The sequence below is a fragment of the Homo sapiens genome, chromosome 9 (genome assembly GCF_000001405.40).
Source record: "Homo sapiens chromosome 9, GRCh38.p14 Primary Assembly".
Taxonomy (NCBI): Eukaryota; Metazoa; Chordata; class Mammalia; order Primates; family Hominidae; genus Homo; species Homo sapiens.
In genome coordinates, this window is record NC_000009.12 from 112,408,578 (window position 1) to 112,427,782 (window position 19,205).

Genomic DNA, 19,205 nt, shown 5'->3' on the forward strand with positions numbered 1-19,205 from the left:
GCTGACCACATACCTAGGCTGTATGGCATAGCCTATTGCTTCCAGGCTGTAAAGCTGTATAACATGTTACTGTACTGACTACTGTAGGCGTTTGTAACACAACAGTAAGTATGTATCTGAACAAACTTAGACAGAAAAGAGATAAAATAAAAAAACAGTATTGTAATCTTAAGGGACCATGTTGCGTATATGGGCCATTGTTGATTGAAATGTTAGGTGTGGTACATGACTGTATTTGTGAATCAACTGAGGGTTCAAGAGAGTAAACGCTTTTTTTGTGTGTGATAAAAAGTCTTTCATTAAAATGAAATTGATTATTTTGAAAACAGGAATTGATATTCTGGTAAATAATGCCAGTGCCATTAGTTTGACCAATACATTGGACACACCTACCAAGAGATTGGATCTGATGATGAACGTGAACACCAGAGGCACCTACCTTGCGTAAGTTTGCAAGAAGAGTTGTTGGGGAGGAAGTTGCGGTGTTTCTCAGGGAACTTACATAGTTGTAAACAGATTTGAGCCAAATTAACAGTGTAGTTCAAAATCTAGTCAATCCTTATAAGGGTCTAAAAGTCCTTCATTCAGTCAATAGTATTTTATTTTATTTTTTATTTATTTATTTTTTTGAGATGGAGTTTCATTCTTGTTGCCCAGGCTGGAGTGCAGTGGCACGATCTCAGCTCACTGCAACCTTTGCCTCCTAGGTTCAAGCGATTCTCCTGCCTCAGCCTCCTGAGTAGCTGGGATTACAGGCGCCCACCACCATGCCCAGTTGATTTTTTGTATTTTTAGTAGAGACAGGGTTTTACCATGTTGGCCAGGCTGGTCTCAAACTCCTTACCTCAGGTGATCCACCCACCTTGGCCTCCCAAAGTGCTGGGATTACAGGCATGAGCCACCATGCCCAGCCCGATAGTATTTTAAATAGCTTTATTTGGAGCTCCTTTTCTCTATGAATTTAGGAAAGACTAAAGTAGGCTGAGTGCAGTGGCTCACACCTGTAATTTCAGCACTTTGGGTGAGGGGAGTATTATTGGAGGCCAGGAGATTGAGACTGAGATGCACAAGATGGCAAGACGCTGTCTCTACAAAAAAAAGTTTTTAAAATCAGGCAGGCATAGTGGTTTGTGTGCTACTGAGACTGTGGTGGTGGTCTCATCTACTCAGGAGACTGAGGCAAGAGGATCCCTTGAGCCCAGGAGTTTGAGGCTACAATGAGCTGTGATCATGCCACTGCACTCCAGCCTGGGTAACAGAGAAAGACTGTCTCCAAAGAAAAAAAAAAAAGACTAAAGTGTAGCTCAAGCATTTTCTCAAATATTTGCATGTGTAAATACTTACATGTATACTCTGTCTTTCATAGGACACAGTCCTTTCATAGGACTATTTAGGATTACTGAAGCCAGCAATAGTCTCCTTCCTCTGAAAAAGACCTGGCGTTAAAAAAAAAAAAAGACGTAGGTTTTAGTTATTTAAATAACAGTAAGGTCATTCTCATTATGAATCACACTTTATTGTAACCAATAAAAACACTAATACTTTCTTGGGCTTTGCCGGGGAAATGTAGACTATCGAATGAAAGAACATAGTCTTGATCTGTTCTGGATTCATCAGACAACCTGTCTTATTGTCCATTTATTTATCTGTTTATTTACCCTCTGGTTCTATATTTTCCATGTGGATATCAGGATACATCAGGTTAGAACTTGCTTCTGTACCTTACATGTATCTTGTTAACACACAGAATAGGTGGTTAGGAGCTTAGGCTCTGGAGTAAGACTGCTTGGATTCAAATCTTAACACTCACCCCTCATGACTTTCTATTTTGTGACCTTGGACAAGTAACTTAACTTCTTGCAGATTCAGTTTCTTTACTTTTAAAATGGCAATAATACAGTAATATGTTATAGGGTTGGTCACGAGGGTTAAATGTCTAAGTTATTAAGTTAGAGTCCTGAATTTTTCCCTCAGGTATGTTTTGTTGGGTCTGCAAAACTTGGCCCAGACAGTGTTAAAACAAAATTGTTTTCATTAGTTACCTACATTCAAAGTTTTATTAGTTAGGGCCAGGCATGGCGGCTCATGCTTGTAATCCCAGCACTTTGGGAGGCTGAGCCAGGCGGGTCACTTGAGCCCAGGAGTTCGAAACCAGCCTAGACAACATGGCAAAACCCTGTCTCTACAAAAAATAGAAAAATTAGCTGGGGATGGTGGCACACGTGCCTGTAGTCCCAGCTACTTAGGAAGCTGAAGTGGGGGGATTGTCTGAATCTGGGAGGTGGACGTTGCTGTGAGCTGAGATCACCCTACTGCACTCCAGCCTGGGTGACAGAGCGAGACCCTGTCTCAAAAACTTTATTGGTTGCTTATGTTGAAAAAATTAGAAGATTTATACAAAAGTCCAGATTTCTAGCTTTTCTTGAAATCTTAGAAGATCTGGCCAAATAGAGAAGCATTACCACATGGCAATAGTTGCTGTAGCTGAGTGGCAGGGTTATCAACTGCCTCATCAGATGGGGCCAGAGCTCTGTTGTCTTCTGGATGCTGAGGACAGACTAACAAGTTATATCATTGCATTTACACTGTTGTTTTTCTTATATGAAAGAGGAAAGTGAAATATTTCTCATAACCACATCTCTCTCTGAATTGGGAAAATGAGACTTATGCCAAGAGGGCCGTATGTTCAAGCAAAATGGGTGAAAGCTTACTTGTTTGTAGATGTAAGGCATATTTCTATAAATTCGATATGTAAGGTAGGTCTCTATTGAATGAAACCATATTGAATCCAACTGTAGTAAGAATTATGGCAAATGGCTGGGCACAGTGGCTCATGCTTGTAATCCCAGCACTTTGGGAGGCCAATGCAGGCAGATCACCTGAGGTCAGGAGTTTAAGACTAGCCAGGCCAACATGGTGAAACCCTGTCTCTACTAAAAATACAAAAAATTAGCCAGGCGTGGTGGTGTGCACCTGTTACTGGACTATTCCGGAGGCTGAGGCAGGAGAATCGCTTGAACCCAGGAGGCGGAGGCTGCAGTAAGCCAAGATCACACCACTGCACTCCAGCTTGGGCAGCAGAGTGAGACTCTGTCTCAAAAAGAAAAAAACTATTATGGCAAGCATATAGATTGTGATGAAAAACTTGAACTAGAAAGAGTTTGTGTTTATTTTCAAATAAAATAGGCAATGTTGCTATGTGATACTGTCATGGTACTAGAAAAAATTATATGGGAATAAAAATATTTTACAGCTGGCAACTTTGTGAAAGAATTTCAATTGAATGTTAAGTATTTGTTTAAACAAATGCTTAAAAATATAAACCTAGCCAGGAATATTATTGCTCAACATGTTGAACTAAGGCTTAGTTAAGGGCGTGTTGTGTGAATAAGTTTAATGATTTCTGGCAGTTTCTATTATAGATGATGAAGCCACAGATATACATATACAGGTTGAGTATCCCTGGTCTGAAAATCCCAAATCCAGAATGCTCTGAGATCTGAAACTTTTTGAGTGCTGACTCGACGCTCAAAAGAAATGCTCTTTGGAACATTAAGGATTTCAAATTTTTGGAGTAGTGATGTTGAACTGGTTAAGTATAATGCAGATATTTCAGAATGAAACCTGAAACAATTCTGGTCCCAAGCTAAACTTGTACCACACACCTAGGTATATGGCGTCAGGAGAATTTTGACGTGATTAAAAAGGTTTTAGACTGGGTTTTCATGACATGAAATGACTTCCAAGGTATTGACAAATATCTTGGCAAGTTTAAGGCAGATTTATCAAAACTAGTAATCATAACTATAGACAGTGCTGTAGCAGTGGTCAGTGTTAATTTTAGACTTATTAAAATCTAAACAAATGTAGGTATATGTTTTGCAGGGGTGCAGAAATTGTTTGTTCATTGTATCATTCACTAGGAATTGCTCCCTACTAACAAAGTTAAAAATATACGTTTTCTTTCCAAGAGATGATCAATACAAGTAAAGCATTGAATTTTATGTAGATTTGTCAAAATTAGTAATCATAACTATAGACTTGACCTTTTAAACTGACATTATGACTGATGTGTACATAAATGTATAAGTCTCTTTGTTTTTTCCTTGTGAAATTATGTCTTTGGAAGCCCATTTGGCAAAAATAATTTGGTCTACTTTCCTATATTGAGGTCATTTTTCAAAAATGAAAGTGATGTCTTAACCCACATTTTTAGATGTGAAGGTGCAATTAAAAACAAAACAGACCAGGTGGGGTGGCTCACGCTTGTAATCTCAGCACTTTGGGAGGCCGAGGCAGGCGGATTACTTGAGCCCAGGAGTTTGAGATCAACCTGGGCAACATAGTGAACCCTGTCTCTGTTTTAAAAAAAATTACAGTTAAAATTAAAACTCTCGCACAAAGATTCTATTCACTATTGAAAGTTCCTACCTTTATAAACAGCCACTTAAAAAAAAAACACTAAATAAAATTAAATATTGCTCCCAGTTAAAAGCAGATTGAAATGCCAAATGAAAGACCTCACACTGACTTTTGGGTCAAAGAAAAGTGTCAGATTTTTGGCCTTCTATGAAAAGTATGTTATAAAATGAAAATTCATAATGAAATATTTCTATTTTGGCCAGGTGTGGTGGCTCACGCCTGTAATCCCAGCACTTTGGGAGGCCAAGGCGGGCAGATTACATGAGGTCGGAAGTTTGAGACCAGCCCGACGAACATGGAGAAACCCCGTCTCTACTAAAAATACTAAATTAGCAAGGTGTGGTGGCACACGCCTGTAATCCAGCTACTCGGGAGGCTGAGGCAGGAGAGTTGCTTGAACCCAAGAGGCAGAGGTTGCGGTGAACCAAGATCACGCCATTGCACTCCAAGAGTGCAACGAGAGCAACAAGTGCGAAATTCCCTCTCAAAAAAAAAGAAAAAAAAGAAAAGAAAAGAAATATTTCTATTTTATTTTATTTTTACTTCCCTGGTAACTCACAGAACACATTTCTTTTTTAATTTGTATTTTTCAATTTAATTTATTATATACTCTCCAGTATTACATTGTTTGTATCATGTTAAATGCTTTTAGAAGCTTAGTAGTAAGGTTCAGTTGTATCTCTGAACAGTTGATTTTTCTTATTCCCAGCTGTTTGAAATGCTTGTTCCCTGGTGCCATAAAGAAATAGCACTTGAACATAAATTTAATTTACTCAGCAAGGCCGTTTTTATACTTTCTGCAGAAAGGGTATACTTGCCAGCAGTTTTGCCACAAGAGTACACCGATCAAAGCAGACAGGGTCATTTATAACCTGACGCGTCCACCCTACTGCTGTGTCCGGTTTCCATTGGCTGGAACGGGACCTGACGTTCTGTATTTGTCCCGGTTGGCTAGCAACTTAGAACTTTTTTTAAAAAGAGGCAAAGGCAGAGGAGAACAAAGGAAGGAGGAGGTAACTTGTGGAATGCTGAGAACGGTAAAAACACCTTCAAATAAGGAAGAGGAACAGGCTATGACCTAATGCTTGCTTGGACCAGTATATGCATGCCAGGGCAAATATTTAGGCTAAATTGTGGGAGCTAAGAACTTAAAGTACATTGATTTCTTTATCATGGCTAGCAGATATTTAAGAATGTTAGTACGGGTCTTTGAATACATTTTGCTTCTAAGAGAAGTTACTATTTATTCCTAATTAGACAGGGAGGAAAGTCTTTGAAGAGGAACCTCTAGTTTTTACACCAACTCACTTTATTCATTTACTCAAATGCCTTACAGGTCTTTGAGTTTGAAACCCCAAGTAAGTAAAATAATTCATGAAAGGTAATAAAAACAGAGTCTGGCACATAGTTAGGTTTTCAGTAAACGTAACTATTTTATTCGGCTGAAGGTATCAGTATCTAAGTGTGGTGCTAAGAGTTTTCAATATAATATATAAGAGGGCATGCTACTGTGACAGATGCACCTGATGTAGGATTAGCAATGTTGAGGTCCAGGCCAGCAAAGTGCAGATGGAAAGGTCTTGTCCCATAGATCAAAGGAAAGCCCATGTTTAGAATGTAAATGAAATGAGCTCTTTCCTTTGAGTGTAAAATATGGTCTTATTTACTGGAGTAGATTTAGTTTGTTTCTTCTTGATGCTTCGAGTTGCAGTTTCACTGTTTTAATGAAACTCAGCTGTAATATTGTTTGCCCCACCTCACCTCACCTCCATAAAAGTGAAGCACCTTTGGAAATGAAAACAGTATCTACCAAAACCCCTCTAGTGGTATTGATTATATTTGGTAAGCTTGGTAAGATGTTGCTGTTTTTAACACCAGTATTGTACATTTGGTAATTAAAAAACTGACTTGAAAGAAGAATGAACTAGTTCATTCACAGCTCCTGGTTCAGGGTAAAGAAAAAAAAAAGAATGGACAAGTTCAGAGTCCTAGAAGTCCTAGAAGTCATTGAATGTAAACGAAAGCTAAATTTGTAGCTAAAATAAAGCTATAAATTAAGCTATAATATATTATTTAGCTGCTGACATTATGTAAAAATTAACATTTTAGAAATATTGAATCTGAATCTTAAATAAATTACCTACCTTAATGAGTGACTTTTTAAAAATAAAGCTATGTATTGCACCCAAAGGCATATTTTATATTGGTGAAAATTAAATTTGGGAATGTAATGAGAGTTATATTACTAAATTACAGTTCCAATGTAGTAGAAGTACTATGCCTATTAAGATGAAATAAATCAGCATACATAATACTAACAACAGCGATTGTTTATTTCATGTTTAGTATATACATTGTCCTAAGTATCTCATATATATCATCTAATTTTAATCTCTTGGTCAATCATAGAAGGTAGTGACTTTTACCAACATTTGCAGAGGAGAGAACTGAGCATTAGAATGCTATACAATTTTCCCAGGGTCACACAATGAAGGGGCAGAAGCAGAATTTGAACCCTGGTCTGTCTGACTTGAACACTCATGTTATTTACCACTGTGCTGACCGACAAGTATATTAACTATCTCTGAAAATTACATATGTGTGTTAGGGAGGCAGAATTTGGGATGGTTGTGGTTGCGGATAACCTCAGTTGGGCTTAAGGCTAGTATATCAAGGATTTGTTTTTTTCCATCAAGCAGATCATGTTGCCAGGCCATTAAGCAGAATTTCAAAGGATGAAAATTAGTTGCTTTTTCTGTCTTAATTCTAGAAAGCAAACAAAAGTACCCTATGAACAAAACAAACAAACAGTTCCCTACAGATTTCTGAGCAAGTTCAGTTACTCTGTAGGAGTAGTTTAAAATGTATCTTGGCGGAGCGTGGGTGGATCACGAGGTCAGGAGTCGAGACCATCCTGGCTAACACGGTGAAACCCCGTCTCTACTAAAAATACAAAACATTAGCCGGACGTGGTGGCGGGCGCCTTGTAGTCCCAGCTACTCAGGAGACTGAAGCAGGAGAATGGCATGAACCCGGGAGGCGGAGCTTGCAGTGAGCGATTGTGCCACTTCACTCCAGCCTGGGCAACAGAGCCAGACTCCGTCTCAAAAAAAAAAAAAAAGTGGATTGGCCCGGCATGATGGCTCACACTTGTAATCCTAGTACTTTGGGAGGCTGAGGCGGGTAGATCGCTTGAGTCCAGGAGTTTGAGACACGCCTGCGCCACATAGCAAGACCCTGTTTCTAAAAAAAGAAAAAAAAAATTACAAAAACTATCCAGGTAGCTGGGCATGCTGGCACATGCCTGTAGTCCCAGCTACTCAGGAGGCTGAGGTGAGAGGACCACTTGAGCTGGGGAGGCAGAGGCTACAATGAGATGTGATCATGCCACTGCACTCCAGCCTGGCAACAGAGAGACCCTGTCTTAAAATTAAAAAAAAAAACAAACAAAAAAAAAGAAGTTGGCTGGTCGCAGTGGTTCACACCTGTAAACCTATAATCCTGGCACTTCGGGAGTCTGAGGTAGGAGGAGTGCTTGAGTCCAAGGGGTTCAAGACCAGCCTGGGCAACAAAGCTAGACCCTGTCTCTAAAAAAAAAAAAAAAAGTACAGAAATTAGCTGGGCATGGTGGTGCTGCACACCTGTAGTTCCAGCTACTCGGAAAACTGAGGTGGGAGGATTGCTTGAGCCCAGGAGCCCAGGAGCTCAAGGCTTTAGTGAACTGTGATCGAGTCATGCACTCCAGCCTGGGCAACAGAGCAAGGCCCCCTCTCTTAAAAAAAAAAGTGGAGAAATTGTTAGAAAGCTATTAAATTTGGCTTGTATTTTCTTTTGCTTTCAGATCTAAAGCATGTATTCCTTATTTGAAAAAGAGCAAAGTTGCTCATATCCTCAATATCAGTCCACCACTGAACCTAAATCCAGTTTGGTTCAAACAGCACTGTGGTAGGTGGTAGGTGGTAGGGTGAGGGGATGGTTTGTGCTTAATTTGTTTTGAATTAAATCTGTGTATGTCTGATGTAATCACAATCTGCACATAACATTCATCATTGAATTTTCTATGCCAAGTCATTAAGTGGCATTTGGAAAGTAGATTCTTCATCTTTTATCTGTAATTTAAAAAATTGAGGCATAATTGACATTCAATAAAATGCACAGCTCTTAATGGTTCAGTTTGATGAGTTTTGAGAAATGTATATAACCAACACCCAAATCAAGATACAGATTTTTACCATTTCAGAAAGCTCTTTCATTTCCCAATGAGTGTGTTTTACTGTGTGTAATTTATTCATCTATAAAGTTGGTTAAAAACTATCTATGAGATACTTTATTTTTCTTAGACAGGTATGCACCTGTAGTCCTAGCTACTTGAAAGGCTGAGGTGGGAGGATCGCTTGAGCCCAGGAGTTTGAGGCTGCAGTGAGCTAGGATCATGGCACTGCACTCCTGCCTGGGTGACAGAGCGAGACCCTGACTCTAAAAAAAAAAAAAAAAAACGACAAAAAAACCCTATTACCTTTCATAGCAAACTAATGGTTTAAGGTAAATATGCTAAGTAACAAGATTTACATATAGATGCCTCCTTTAAAATAGTTGTATCAAACACTTAGTTTTTATTTCAGCACAGTTCACTAACATTTGGAAAGGCACTTGGAATGGGAACCCACAGAGCAAAACTGAAAGAAGTTCCACTTTAATTGACTAGGTTAAATACATTTGCAGCCTTTTTTTATTATTGTTTTACTAGCAGTAGTTTCCCTTTAAATAAACACTTTCATTCTTAAAAAAAAAAAAAAGTCCAGGCATGGTGGCTCATATCTGTAATCCCAGCACTTTGGGAAGCCGAGACAGGCAGATCACTTGAGGTCAGGAGTTTGAGACCAGCCTGGCCAACATAGTGAAACTCCATCTCTACTAAAAATACAAAAATTAGCTGGGCATGGTGGTGCACACCTGTAATCCCAGCTACTCGGAGGATGAGGCACAAGAATCACTTGAACCTGGGAGGTGGAGTTTGCAGTGAGCCAAGATTGCACCACTGTGCTCCAGCCTGGGCAACAGAGTGAAACTGTATCTCAAAAAAAGAAACATATTAAGAGATAATAATGTAATTTACCCTCATAGTATTAAGAAAAATGAAAGTTTATTACTGTCACTTTTATTTTAATCAAATATTAGGAGGGAGATATATAAAATGATTTCATCTCTGTTCACTTCTATAAAACCTGTTCTTTACAAAATAGTACAGTGAAAAGTTATATTTTATATTATTGAAAAGAATTCTCAAAAATATATCAGGGAGGCTGGGTACGGTGGCTCGTACCTGTAATCCCAGCACTTTGGGAGGCTAAGGCAGGTGGATTGCTTGAGCCCAGGAGTTCAAGACCAGGCTGGGCAACGTGCAAAACCCTGTCTCTACAAAAAAATTGAAAAATTAGCCAGGCTTGGTGGCACACACCCATAGTCCCAGCTACTCGGGAGGCTGAGGTGGGAGGGTTGCTTGAGCCCAGGAGGTAGAGGCTGCAGTGAATCGTAATCACACCACTGCACTCCAGCCTGTCTCAAAAAAAAAAAAAAAGTATGTGTATATATATGTATATATGTATGTGTGTGTATATATGTGTGTATTACTATTTTCTTCCTGATATATATGTGTGCGTGGGTGTGTTGTATGTATATGCATATATATACACATGTATATGTATATACACACAGATATATACACATACATATGTATATACATACATGCACACATATATCAGGAAGAAAATAGTAATAGAAAAATTGGTTATTTCTACTCACAAGTTAATCAAATTAATTTCTTTTATAATTAAATTATTATTTTTTGTGGTTCTTTCAGCTTATACCATTGCTAAGTATGGTATGTCTATGTATGTGCTTGGAATGGCAGAAGAATTTAAAGGTGAAATTGCAGTCAATGCATTATGGCCTAAAACAGGTATGTATTTTTAAAAACTTCATTTGTTAGATTTTCATGTATTGTCCTTGACACTTATTATTATTTTTTGACAGAATCTCACTCTTGTCATCCAGGCTGGAGTGCAGTGGTGTGATCTTGGCTCACTGCAACCTCTGCCTCCTGGGTTCAAGCAGTTCTTGTGCCTCAGCCTCCCAAGCAGCTGGGACTATAGGTGCACACCACCATGCCTGGCTAATTTTTGTATTTTTAGTAGAGACAGGGTTTCACCATGTTGGCCAGGCTGGTCTCGAACTCCTCAAGTGATCCTCCCACCTTGGCCTCCCAAAGTGCTGGGATTACAAGCATGAGCCACCACGCCCGGCCTGTCCTTGACACTCTTGAGGTGCATCTTGGGTATGATAGGGTGAGAGTATGTAGACTGTTAATACTAACTTCAATCTGTTTGTTGGGAAACAAGTTCAACTTTTTATTGTACAACATAAGATCCTTTTCAATCATCTTCCTGCCTTGGCTTAGACTACATGAGTGACTCTTCAGCCAATAGCCTTTGTAGGAACATTGACCACCGGAACACTTTAAGAATCTTTTGAAGGCCAACAGGAGAAGCTGCACTTCCCCAACTCTTTCTCCATCTTTGTTTCTGGAAACTACCTAAATTCTGCAGATTCTCATACTTTTGTTTTCTCCTCACACATTCTAACAAATGCTTTTTAACATTTTTGTATTCTTACTGGCCTTGTCTTTTTCCTTTAGAAAAAGCTGGATTATCTTTCCTTTCACATGAATTCTTCTGAATTCACAGAGTACCTGGAACCCTGTGAGATGACAGAAGAACCTGTGTATGCCTGGGCTTGGTGTGCAAATTTACAGTTATGATATAACAGAAGTTGATGGCTTCCTTGCTGGGCAATAAGATATATAAAAATGAGGGAAAGCCAGCAAAAATGAGAAAAAAGGAAAGCCTGTCTTTCTTATAGGTTCTTACCCTCTGCTTGTATATCAGAGTAGCTTAAAGGAAGAAAAAGAGACGATAACATTTCACTACACATTTTTCCATGTACTAGTGGGTAATGCCCATGAAAACCTTAACTTCTTTTTATCTTAAGTGTAAATGGTGCCGGGTGTGGTTACAGATGGCTCATGCCATCCCAACACTTTGGGAGGCCAGGATGGGCAGATCACTTGAGGCCAGGAGTTTGAGACAAGCCTGGGTAGCATGGCAAAACCCCGTGTCTACTAAAAATAGGATAAATTAGCCAGTTACTTGGGAGGCTGAGGCATGAGAATCACTTGAACTTTGGAAGCAGAGGTTGCAGTGAACCCAGATTGGACCACTGCACTCCATCCTGGGTAACAGAGCAAGACCCTGTCTCAACAACAGCAACAAAATATGTAAATGGCAATCACATCGCAGAAAAGTATGTCTAATGATAAACAGTATGCAGAGGGACTGGGTGTGGTGCCTCACTCCTGTAATCCTAGCACTTTGGGAGGCTGAGATTGGATGGGAGGATTACTTGAGGCTAGGAGTTTGAAACCAGCCTGGGCAACATAGTGAGGCCTCTTAAAAAAAAAAACACACACAAAAAAAACCTAGCTAGGTGTAGTGGTGCACACCTATGGCCCCAGCTGAGATGGGAGGATCACTTAAGTCCGGGGGTTGAAGGCTGCAGTGAGCCATGGTCATGCTGTTGCACTTCAGCCTCAGCGACAGAGTGAGACCCTGTCTCAACTAACCCACTTCCCCTTTGTCCCGAGAATACTCTTGTCTCTAATTCTAATGTAACATCATATACATTTCTGTTACATTAGGGTTTTCCCATTTGTCCCGAGAATACTCGTCTCTAATTCTAATGTAACATCATATACATTTCTGTTACATTAGGGTTAGAGACAAGTTCTGTTTAGAAATAACTCAATAACTTTTATGTTTTCACATTGAAAATCAGTCAGATTTGCTTCAGCCTCAACGTGTGTGTTTATGTAAAATTAAATGAGCGCTGGTAATTTTTTTTTTTCCTAAACAGGAAGTGGGTTAAAAAACAAACAAAAAAAGAGAATGCATAGTGGGAACCACTTTTTCATTTCACTCTTTAAAAATGTAACAGGCCAGTTGCAGTGGCTCGTGCTTGTAATCCCAACACTTTGAGAAGCAGAGGCAGGAGGATCTCTTGAGCCCAGGAGTTCAAGACCAGCCTAGGCAACATAGTGAGACCCCATCTCTACAAAAAATTAAGTTAGCTGGGCACAGTGGAGCATGCCTGTGGTCACAGCTTCTCGTGAGGCTAAGATTGTAGGATTGCTTGAGCCCTGGAGATTAAGGCTGTAGTGAGCCGTGATCATGCCACTGTACTCTAGCCTTTTGAGACAGGACAGAGTGAGATCCTGTCTCAAAAAAACAAACAAACAAAAATTGAACAGAAACTTGATTATACTCACATTGGAATTTAAACAGAAAATCAACATGGCCCCTCTACGAGGAACCACCTTAGGAATCAATACTGGTGTTTCTGCTCCTAGGGTAGTGCTCTGCCCGTAATAGTCACTCAGATCTTTGTAAATGCATGATATTTTTGGATTCCTTTGGAAAGTCTTCATATTCTTCATTACATTTAAAAAAAAATTTTTGTAGTTTTTTTTAGTGGAAAGGGGGTTTAGCCATGTTGGCCAGGCTGGTCTTGAACTTCTTGCCTCAAGTGATATATCCTCCTCGGCCTCCCAAAGTGCTGGGATTACAGGCATGAGCCACTGCACCGGCCTTATTACATTTTTGAAAACATTTCTACTGATGGCAAATTGGAATCTTTTTCACTGAATTTGCCGGCAGAGGGGGTTTCTAGATGACTACTGGAATTCATGTCCCTGCCGTCCCTCCCTTTCCCCTGATTGGAGCAGCTGCTAGGACGGTGGGCAGGTGAGCCTATGAAGGAATGAGTAAGACTTGATTCTGTAAGAGAAGGAACTTGAGAAGCTTGTGAAAGACTGTTCTCTCTGAGCTAGAGGACAGAATGGAGCCAGGTGAGAGAACTTGAGAAAGAACAGATACTCAGAAGGGCTTTGACCACGGAGATCTGAGGATTCAACAGGGTGACTCAACAGGCAAGATAAGTATTTCCTATCCTTGAGGAGTGGAAGTGAGGAGACCTCAGAGACTTCTTCAAGTCCCAAAATAGATTCAGTGACTGGTATATCTGATATGATAACTTACTACTGCTGGCAAAGCTGGCATCATTTAAACTATCCCGGGCGACAGAGTGAGACTGTCTCAAAAAACAAACAAACAAACGAACTATATAAGGGTGAACAGTGCTATAAGGAAACAAAGAAAAATTGCAGTACAGCTAAGAGGACCCAATATCCAGACATGGAAAAAATAAACAGAACACCAACACCCAGAATAGCAGTTTTCAGTGAAATCAAACTGTTAAAGAAAAAATATCTCAATTTAAAAACAAAAATCCTGACATAAGAGATTGAAATATAATATGAAAAATGCTCTCTGGAACTAAAAATAGATTGTGTTTTTAAAATATACATATATATGTATGTAATAGTTGAAGGGTTGGATGTTGAGTAACACCTGGGTAAGCAGCTTGGATATTCTAGTGCAAGAAGTATCTCAGAAGAGCAGAAACACCCTGAAGTAAATGGAGAGAGACTTAGAAGACACATCCGGGGAACTTCACATGCAAATACCAGGAGTCCCAGAAGGAGGTCTGGAAAGAGAACAAATAGAGGAGAAACAATAATTGAATGAATAATAGGAAACAGTTCCCTTGAGCTGAAGAAAGACCGATATGGATGTAAACTAAAAGGTTTACCAAATTTGAGGCTGAATTTATGAGGGGGAGAAAGACATCTGGGAGAACCTCAGAATTTCAAGGATAAAAAAATCTTCCAAGCCTTCAGGCAGAATATATGTTACTTACAAAGGAAAATGATTGCAGACTCTTTTATCTTCAATGCCAGAAACTAGAAGGCAGTGGAATAACATCTGTACGTTGCTGATACAAAGGGACTCAGCCAAGATAGTTACTTATTGACAAGATGAAGGGAAGATATGTGGATATGCTACCACACTTGAGAAGAGTCTTGTAGAAAGGGCTGTTAACCAAGCAGCAAATCTGTCAGAACAGAGAGTTTTCAAGATAGGAGTCAGAAAAAAGAGGAGAGAAAATAATGGCTGGCAAATAAACCTGTAGTACATTTAATATATGGTCAAATGTACATGGATTATATAGAATAACTGGGAATATGAAATACAAGTACCAAATAACAACTCCCTATATTGAAGAGACAAGATAAGAGAAAAGTTTAATAATTGTCTCTAGCCAAAAGCACTACACTGTCTTCAAAACCTGGAATTTGGGGAAGAGGGAAATGTGGAAGTCATTGAATTCTTTTCTTTTCTTTTTTTTGAGACGGAGTTTCGTTCTTGTCGCCCAGGCTGGAGAGCAGTGGCATAATCTCGGCTCACTGCAACCTCTGCCTCCTGAGTAGCTGGGTTTACAGGCGTTTGCCACCATGCCCAGCAAATTTTTGTATTTTTAGTAGAGAGGGGGTTTCACCATGTTGGCCAGGCAGGTCCCAAACTCCTGACCTCAGGGATCCACCTGCCTCGGCCTCCCAAAGTGCTGGGATTACAGGTGTGAGCCACTGCCCCAGGCCAGAAGTCCCTGAATTCTAAAGGACTTATATGAGCATGGGAACATTAGGGAAGGGAACACTTTCTAACCGTCTCGTTTTGAGGCAGCTACAATTCTAGATGGTATCTTTGTTGTTGTTTGTTTTTTGAGACAGAGTCTCACTCTGTCGCCCAGGCTGGAGTGCAGTGGCACAATTAGCTCACTGCAACCTCTGCCTCTGAGGCTCAAGCGATTCTTGTGCCTCAGCCTCCCGAATGGCTGGGATTACAGGCACTCGCCCCCACGCCCAGCTAATTTTTATATTTTTAGTAGAGACAGGGTTTCACTATGTTGGCCAGGCTGGTCTCGAACTCCTGACCTCAGATGATCCTCCTGCCTTGGCCTCCCAAAGTGCTGGGATTACAAGCGTGAGCCACCACACCTGGCCTAGATGGTATCTTTTAAAAAAATTAGACTGGGCGCAGTGGCTCACGCCTGTAATCCCAGCACTTTAGGAGGCTGAGGTGGGCGGATCACGAGGTCAGGAGATTGAGACCGTCCTGGCTAACATGGTGAAACCCTGTCTCTACTAAAAATACAGAAAAATTAGCCGGGCATAGTGGCGGGCGCCTGTAATCCCAGCTACTTGGGAGGCTGAGGCAGGAGAATGGCATGAACCTGGGAGGCAGAGCTTGCAGTGAGCCGAGATCGTGCCACTGCACTCCAGCCGGGGCGACAGAGCGAGATTCCATCTCAAAAAAAAAAAAAAAATTATATTTTCTGTTTGGTGCTAGGGTGTATAGAAATGTTTTTGCATTTAAACATTATAGGCAGCTACCTTTCTAAACTTTCTTGTTGAGTCTAATAATTTATCTAGAGTCTCCTGGATTTTCTGTGCAGGTAATAATATAATCTATAATAATATTCCAATTCTTACATCCTTGGTTTCCTTTTTCTTGCTTTACTGCACTCTCCTCTCTCTTCCTCTCTAGCCTTCACCAGTAGTTTTCTCTTGACTTATTGAGAGCCCAGCAATGCTTTTAAGAAATGTTTATTGCTTATTTATAGTTTTATTGTAATAAGACAGCCCTTTAGAGTATATAAGTCACCATATAGTTGATCCATGAACAATGTGGTGTTAGGGATGCTGGCTCCTAGCAGTGAAAAAAAGAAAACATATTTCCAAAAGCAGAAGACTAGTCCCATCCATTTTTAATTAAATATATTACTAGATATTTTATATTTATATTTTTTCAATATATTTTCTAATTTGTTAAAGTATATATTAACATAAAAACTATATACCTTTATTACAAATATACTAGTAAACTGAACTCTCTTATTAGTACTGAAGTTTTCTGCAGATTCTCCTAGTTTTTTTAGGTTTAAAGTCTTATCACAAAAAGTGACAACTGTGTTTCTGCCTTTTTGTTATATGTTAAATTATTTTTCCATTTCTTATTAGATTAGCTAATCCTTTTAGAACAATGTTGAATAGTAACAATGATGGGACCTATATTTGTTGTGTTCTTGTCAATAATGGGAATGCTTTTCATCATAATATATATGCAGTTTCTTCCCTTTTTTTAACTTTAGTTCTTGCATCCTTTCTACTACTTAATGCTGTGTTAGTATTAAATGTGATAGTTAAAGCATTAAGGTCTTACTTGATTTGCTGGAAATTTTTGTGTAATGTTCCTATCTACTAAGTGGACTTGGTAAGTTGGTAACTTATTCTGAACTACCATAAAATCTCCATGTAAGTTTTTAAATGCTTATTAAAATTGAAATATTACTTTTTAGTCATATCTCAAACTTGGAACTATTGGAGAATTAAGCAATACCATATTGTTTCTGCCCTTAGTGGTTTACAAATTTTGTTAGGGCAAATAAACCATACAAATATAATGCAACCAGAGAAGTAATCTACCTAGATACTCCTCAAATGTGTGAACTCTTGATTGTAAAGTTCAAATAGATTTCCATAATCTGTTAATTATGGAAATTAATTCCATCTGTATCTTTTCTTCTGTGAGAGCCTTTGAGCTTTCATATTCTTGGTGTCACATTTTGTTTAATTTTCTTATTAGCATACTTATTCTGTATTCCAGATTCTCAATTAACCATATAATATAGTTCATGTAAAGAAATGATAGAACTGATTTTTATTTATTTATTTTGAGATAAGATCTTGCCCTGTTACCCAGGCTGGAGTGCAGTGGCATGATCACAGCTCACTGCAGCCTTGACCTCCTGGGCTCAAGCCATCTTCCTGCCTCAACCTCCTAAATAGCTAGAACCACAGGTGCATACCACCATGCCCAGCTAGTTTTTCAGTTTTTGTGTGTATGTGTGTGTGGAGATGGGGTCTTGCCATGTTATTCAGGCTGGTCTCGAACTCCTGGGCTCAGGAAATCCTTGCACCTCGGCCTCCCAAATTGTTGGCATTACAGGCGTGAGCTACTGTGCCCTGCTAGAAGTAATTTTGATAAAATATCCAAACATCACATTAGTATTTAAAATTATTCAGTTTCTCTTTGCTTCTTTGGGTTTGTGGCACCCTGGTCACCCCCATCTGGCTGTGATAGCCTCTGTAGTCCGTGGGCTGGCAGTTTGCTCTTCTTTTAAGGTTTCTTTCCTACACAATCCCCACTTTCTGGTAAGCCTTCTTTTTTTTTTTTTTTTTTTGAGATGGAGTCTTGCTCTGTCGCCCAGGCTGGAGTGCAGTGGCATGATCTCAGCTCACTGTAACCTCTGTCTCCCGGGTTCAAGCGATTCTCATGCCTCAGTCTCCCAAGTAGCTGGGACTTCAGGCGCCTTTCACTATGCCTGGCTAATTTTTGTATTTTTAGTAGAGACAGGGTTTCGCCATTTTGGCCAGGCTAGTCTCAAACTCCTGACCTCAGGTGATCCACCCGCCTTGGTCTCCCAAAGTGCTGGGATTATAGGCATGAGCCACTGCTCCTTGCCCTGGCAAGGTTTCTATGCAGTCTGTTAGGTGTACATCCTGCAGCTTATTGGTTTAAAATGTACTAGCCTGTGATGTGGTCTCTTTGGGGCCAACTGGGAGAAAGAAAAATCGATAGTGCAGCAGTTTTGATACTGAATATTGACAAGTGTCTTTATGAAATAAAGAACCAGTCCCTCGAAAAAATAAAAATAATTAAGTTTCTGTATTGCACATATTCTTCTTAGCTGTGTGAGCTGCAGTAGCTGTCTGTACCTAGCTTCCCCTTATATAAAATTAGGTATTATAAATAACCTCTAAAGCCCTTTGTTGCATATTTTTCAAACTTTTAATTATGAAAAAAGTCAAACATATGTACAAACATGTATACAAGTAGGGAGAGTAGTACATCACGTACTATTCCGCTTCAGCGATTTCACCACATGGCCAATCTAGTTTTACCAGCCCTCACATCTCCATCTCCCTTTAACTCCACTTCTAACCTCACCAGATTATTATTATATTATTAATTAATTAATTAATTGATTAATTATTTTTTCGAGGCAGAGTCTCACTCTGTCACCCAGGCTGGAGTGCAGTGGCACGATCTCAGCCCACTGCAGCCTCCACCTCCCAGGTTTAAGTGATTCTCCTGCCCCAGCCTCCCGAGTAGCTGGGATTATAGGCGCCCACCGCTGTGCCCGGCTAATTTTTGTATCTTTAGTAGAGAGGGTGTTTTGCCATGTTGGCCAGGCTGGTCTCGGACTCCTGACCTCAAGTGATCCACCCGCCTCGGCCTCCCAAAGTGCTGGGATTACAGGCCTGAGCCAATGCGCCTGGCCCTCGCCACATTATTTTTAAGCAGATCTCAATCATAGCATCATTTCATCTGTACATACTTCAATATGTATTTTTAAATGATTCGGTCTCTTTAAAAAGACAAAATTATTATCATAGCTAACAAACATACCTTAATATCATCTAATATCTAGTCAGTGTTCAAATTCCCTCAAGTGTCTCATAAATGTTTTCTTTGCAGTTGGTTTATTTACATCAGGATCTAAATTGTTCCATACATTGCATTTGTTTGATAAGTCTCAAGTGTTTTTAATCTAAAGCAGTTACACTCATTTTTTTTCTTGCCACTTATTTCTTGAAAAACCAGGTCGTTTATCTTATAGGAGTTCTGTCATTCCAGATTTTCCTGATTCTCCCAGTCGTATCATTTAACATCTTTCTATATCCTGTAAGGACCCTTATATTAGTATAT

The 19,205-nt window shown here is 39.6% G+C and overlaps 1 protein-coding gene across 6 annotated transcripts in view; it reads left to right on the top strand.

The window, feature by feature from the left end:
- Positions 1-19,205, top strand: part of HSDL2 (hydroxysteroid dehydrogenase like 2) — a 92,298-nt gene that overhangs the window by 28,470 nt on the left and 44,623 nt on the right. For 3 of the 6 annotated variants that reach the window (NR_036651.2, NM_032303.5, XM_011519091.4), the window contains 3 exons: positions 330-444; positions 8,264-8,367; positions 10,283-10,381. Coding sequence is in view for 5 of the 6 variants with exons in the window: in NM_032303.5 (NP_115679.2) it covers positions 330-444; positions 8,264-8,367; positions 10,283-10,381 (318 nt within the window). In the remaining variant the exon portion in view is untranslated. Of the gene's footprint in view, positions 1-329; positions 445-8,263; positions 8,368-10,282; positions 10,382-19,205 lie in introns of those variants that run through there. The other 3 variants (NM_001195822.2, XM_017015203.3, XM_047423969.1) reach the window with 2 other exon arrangements.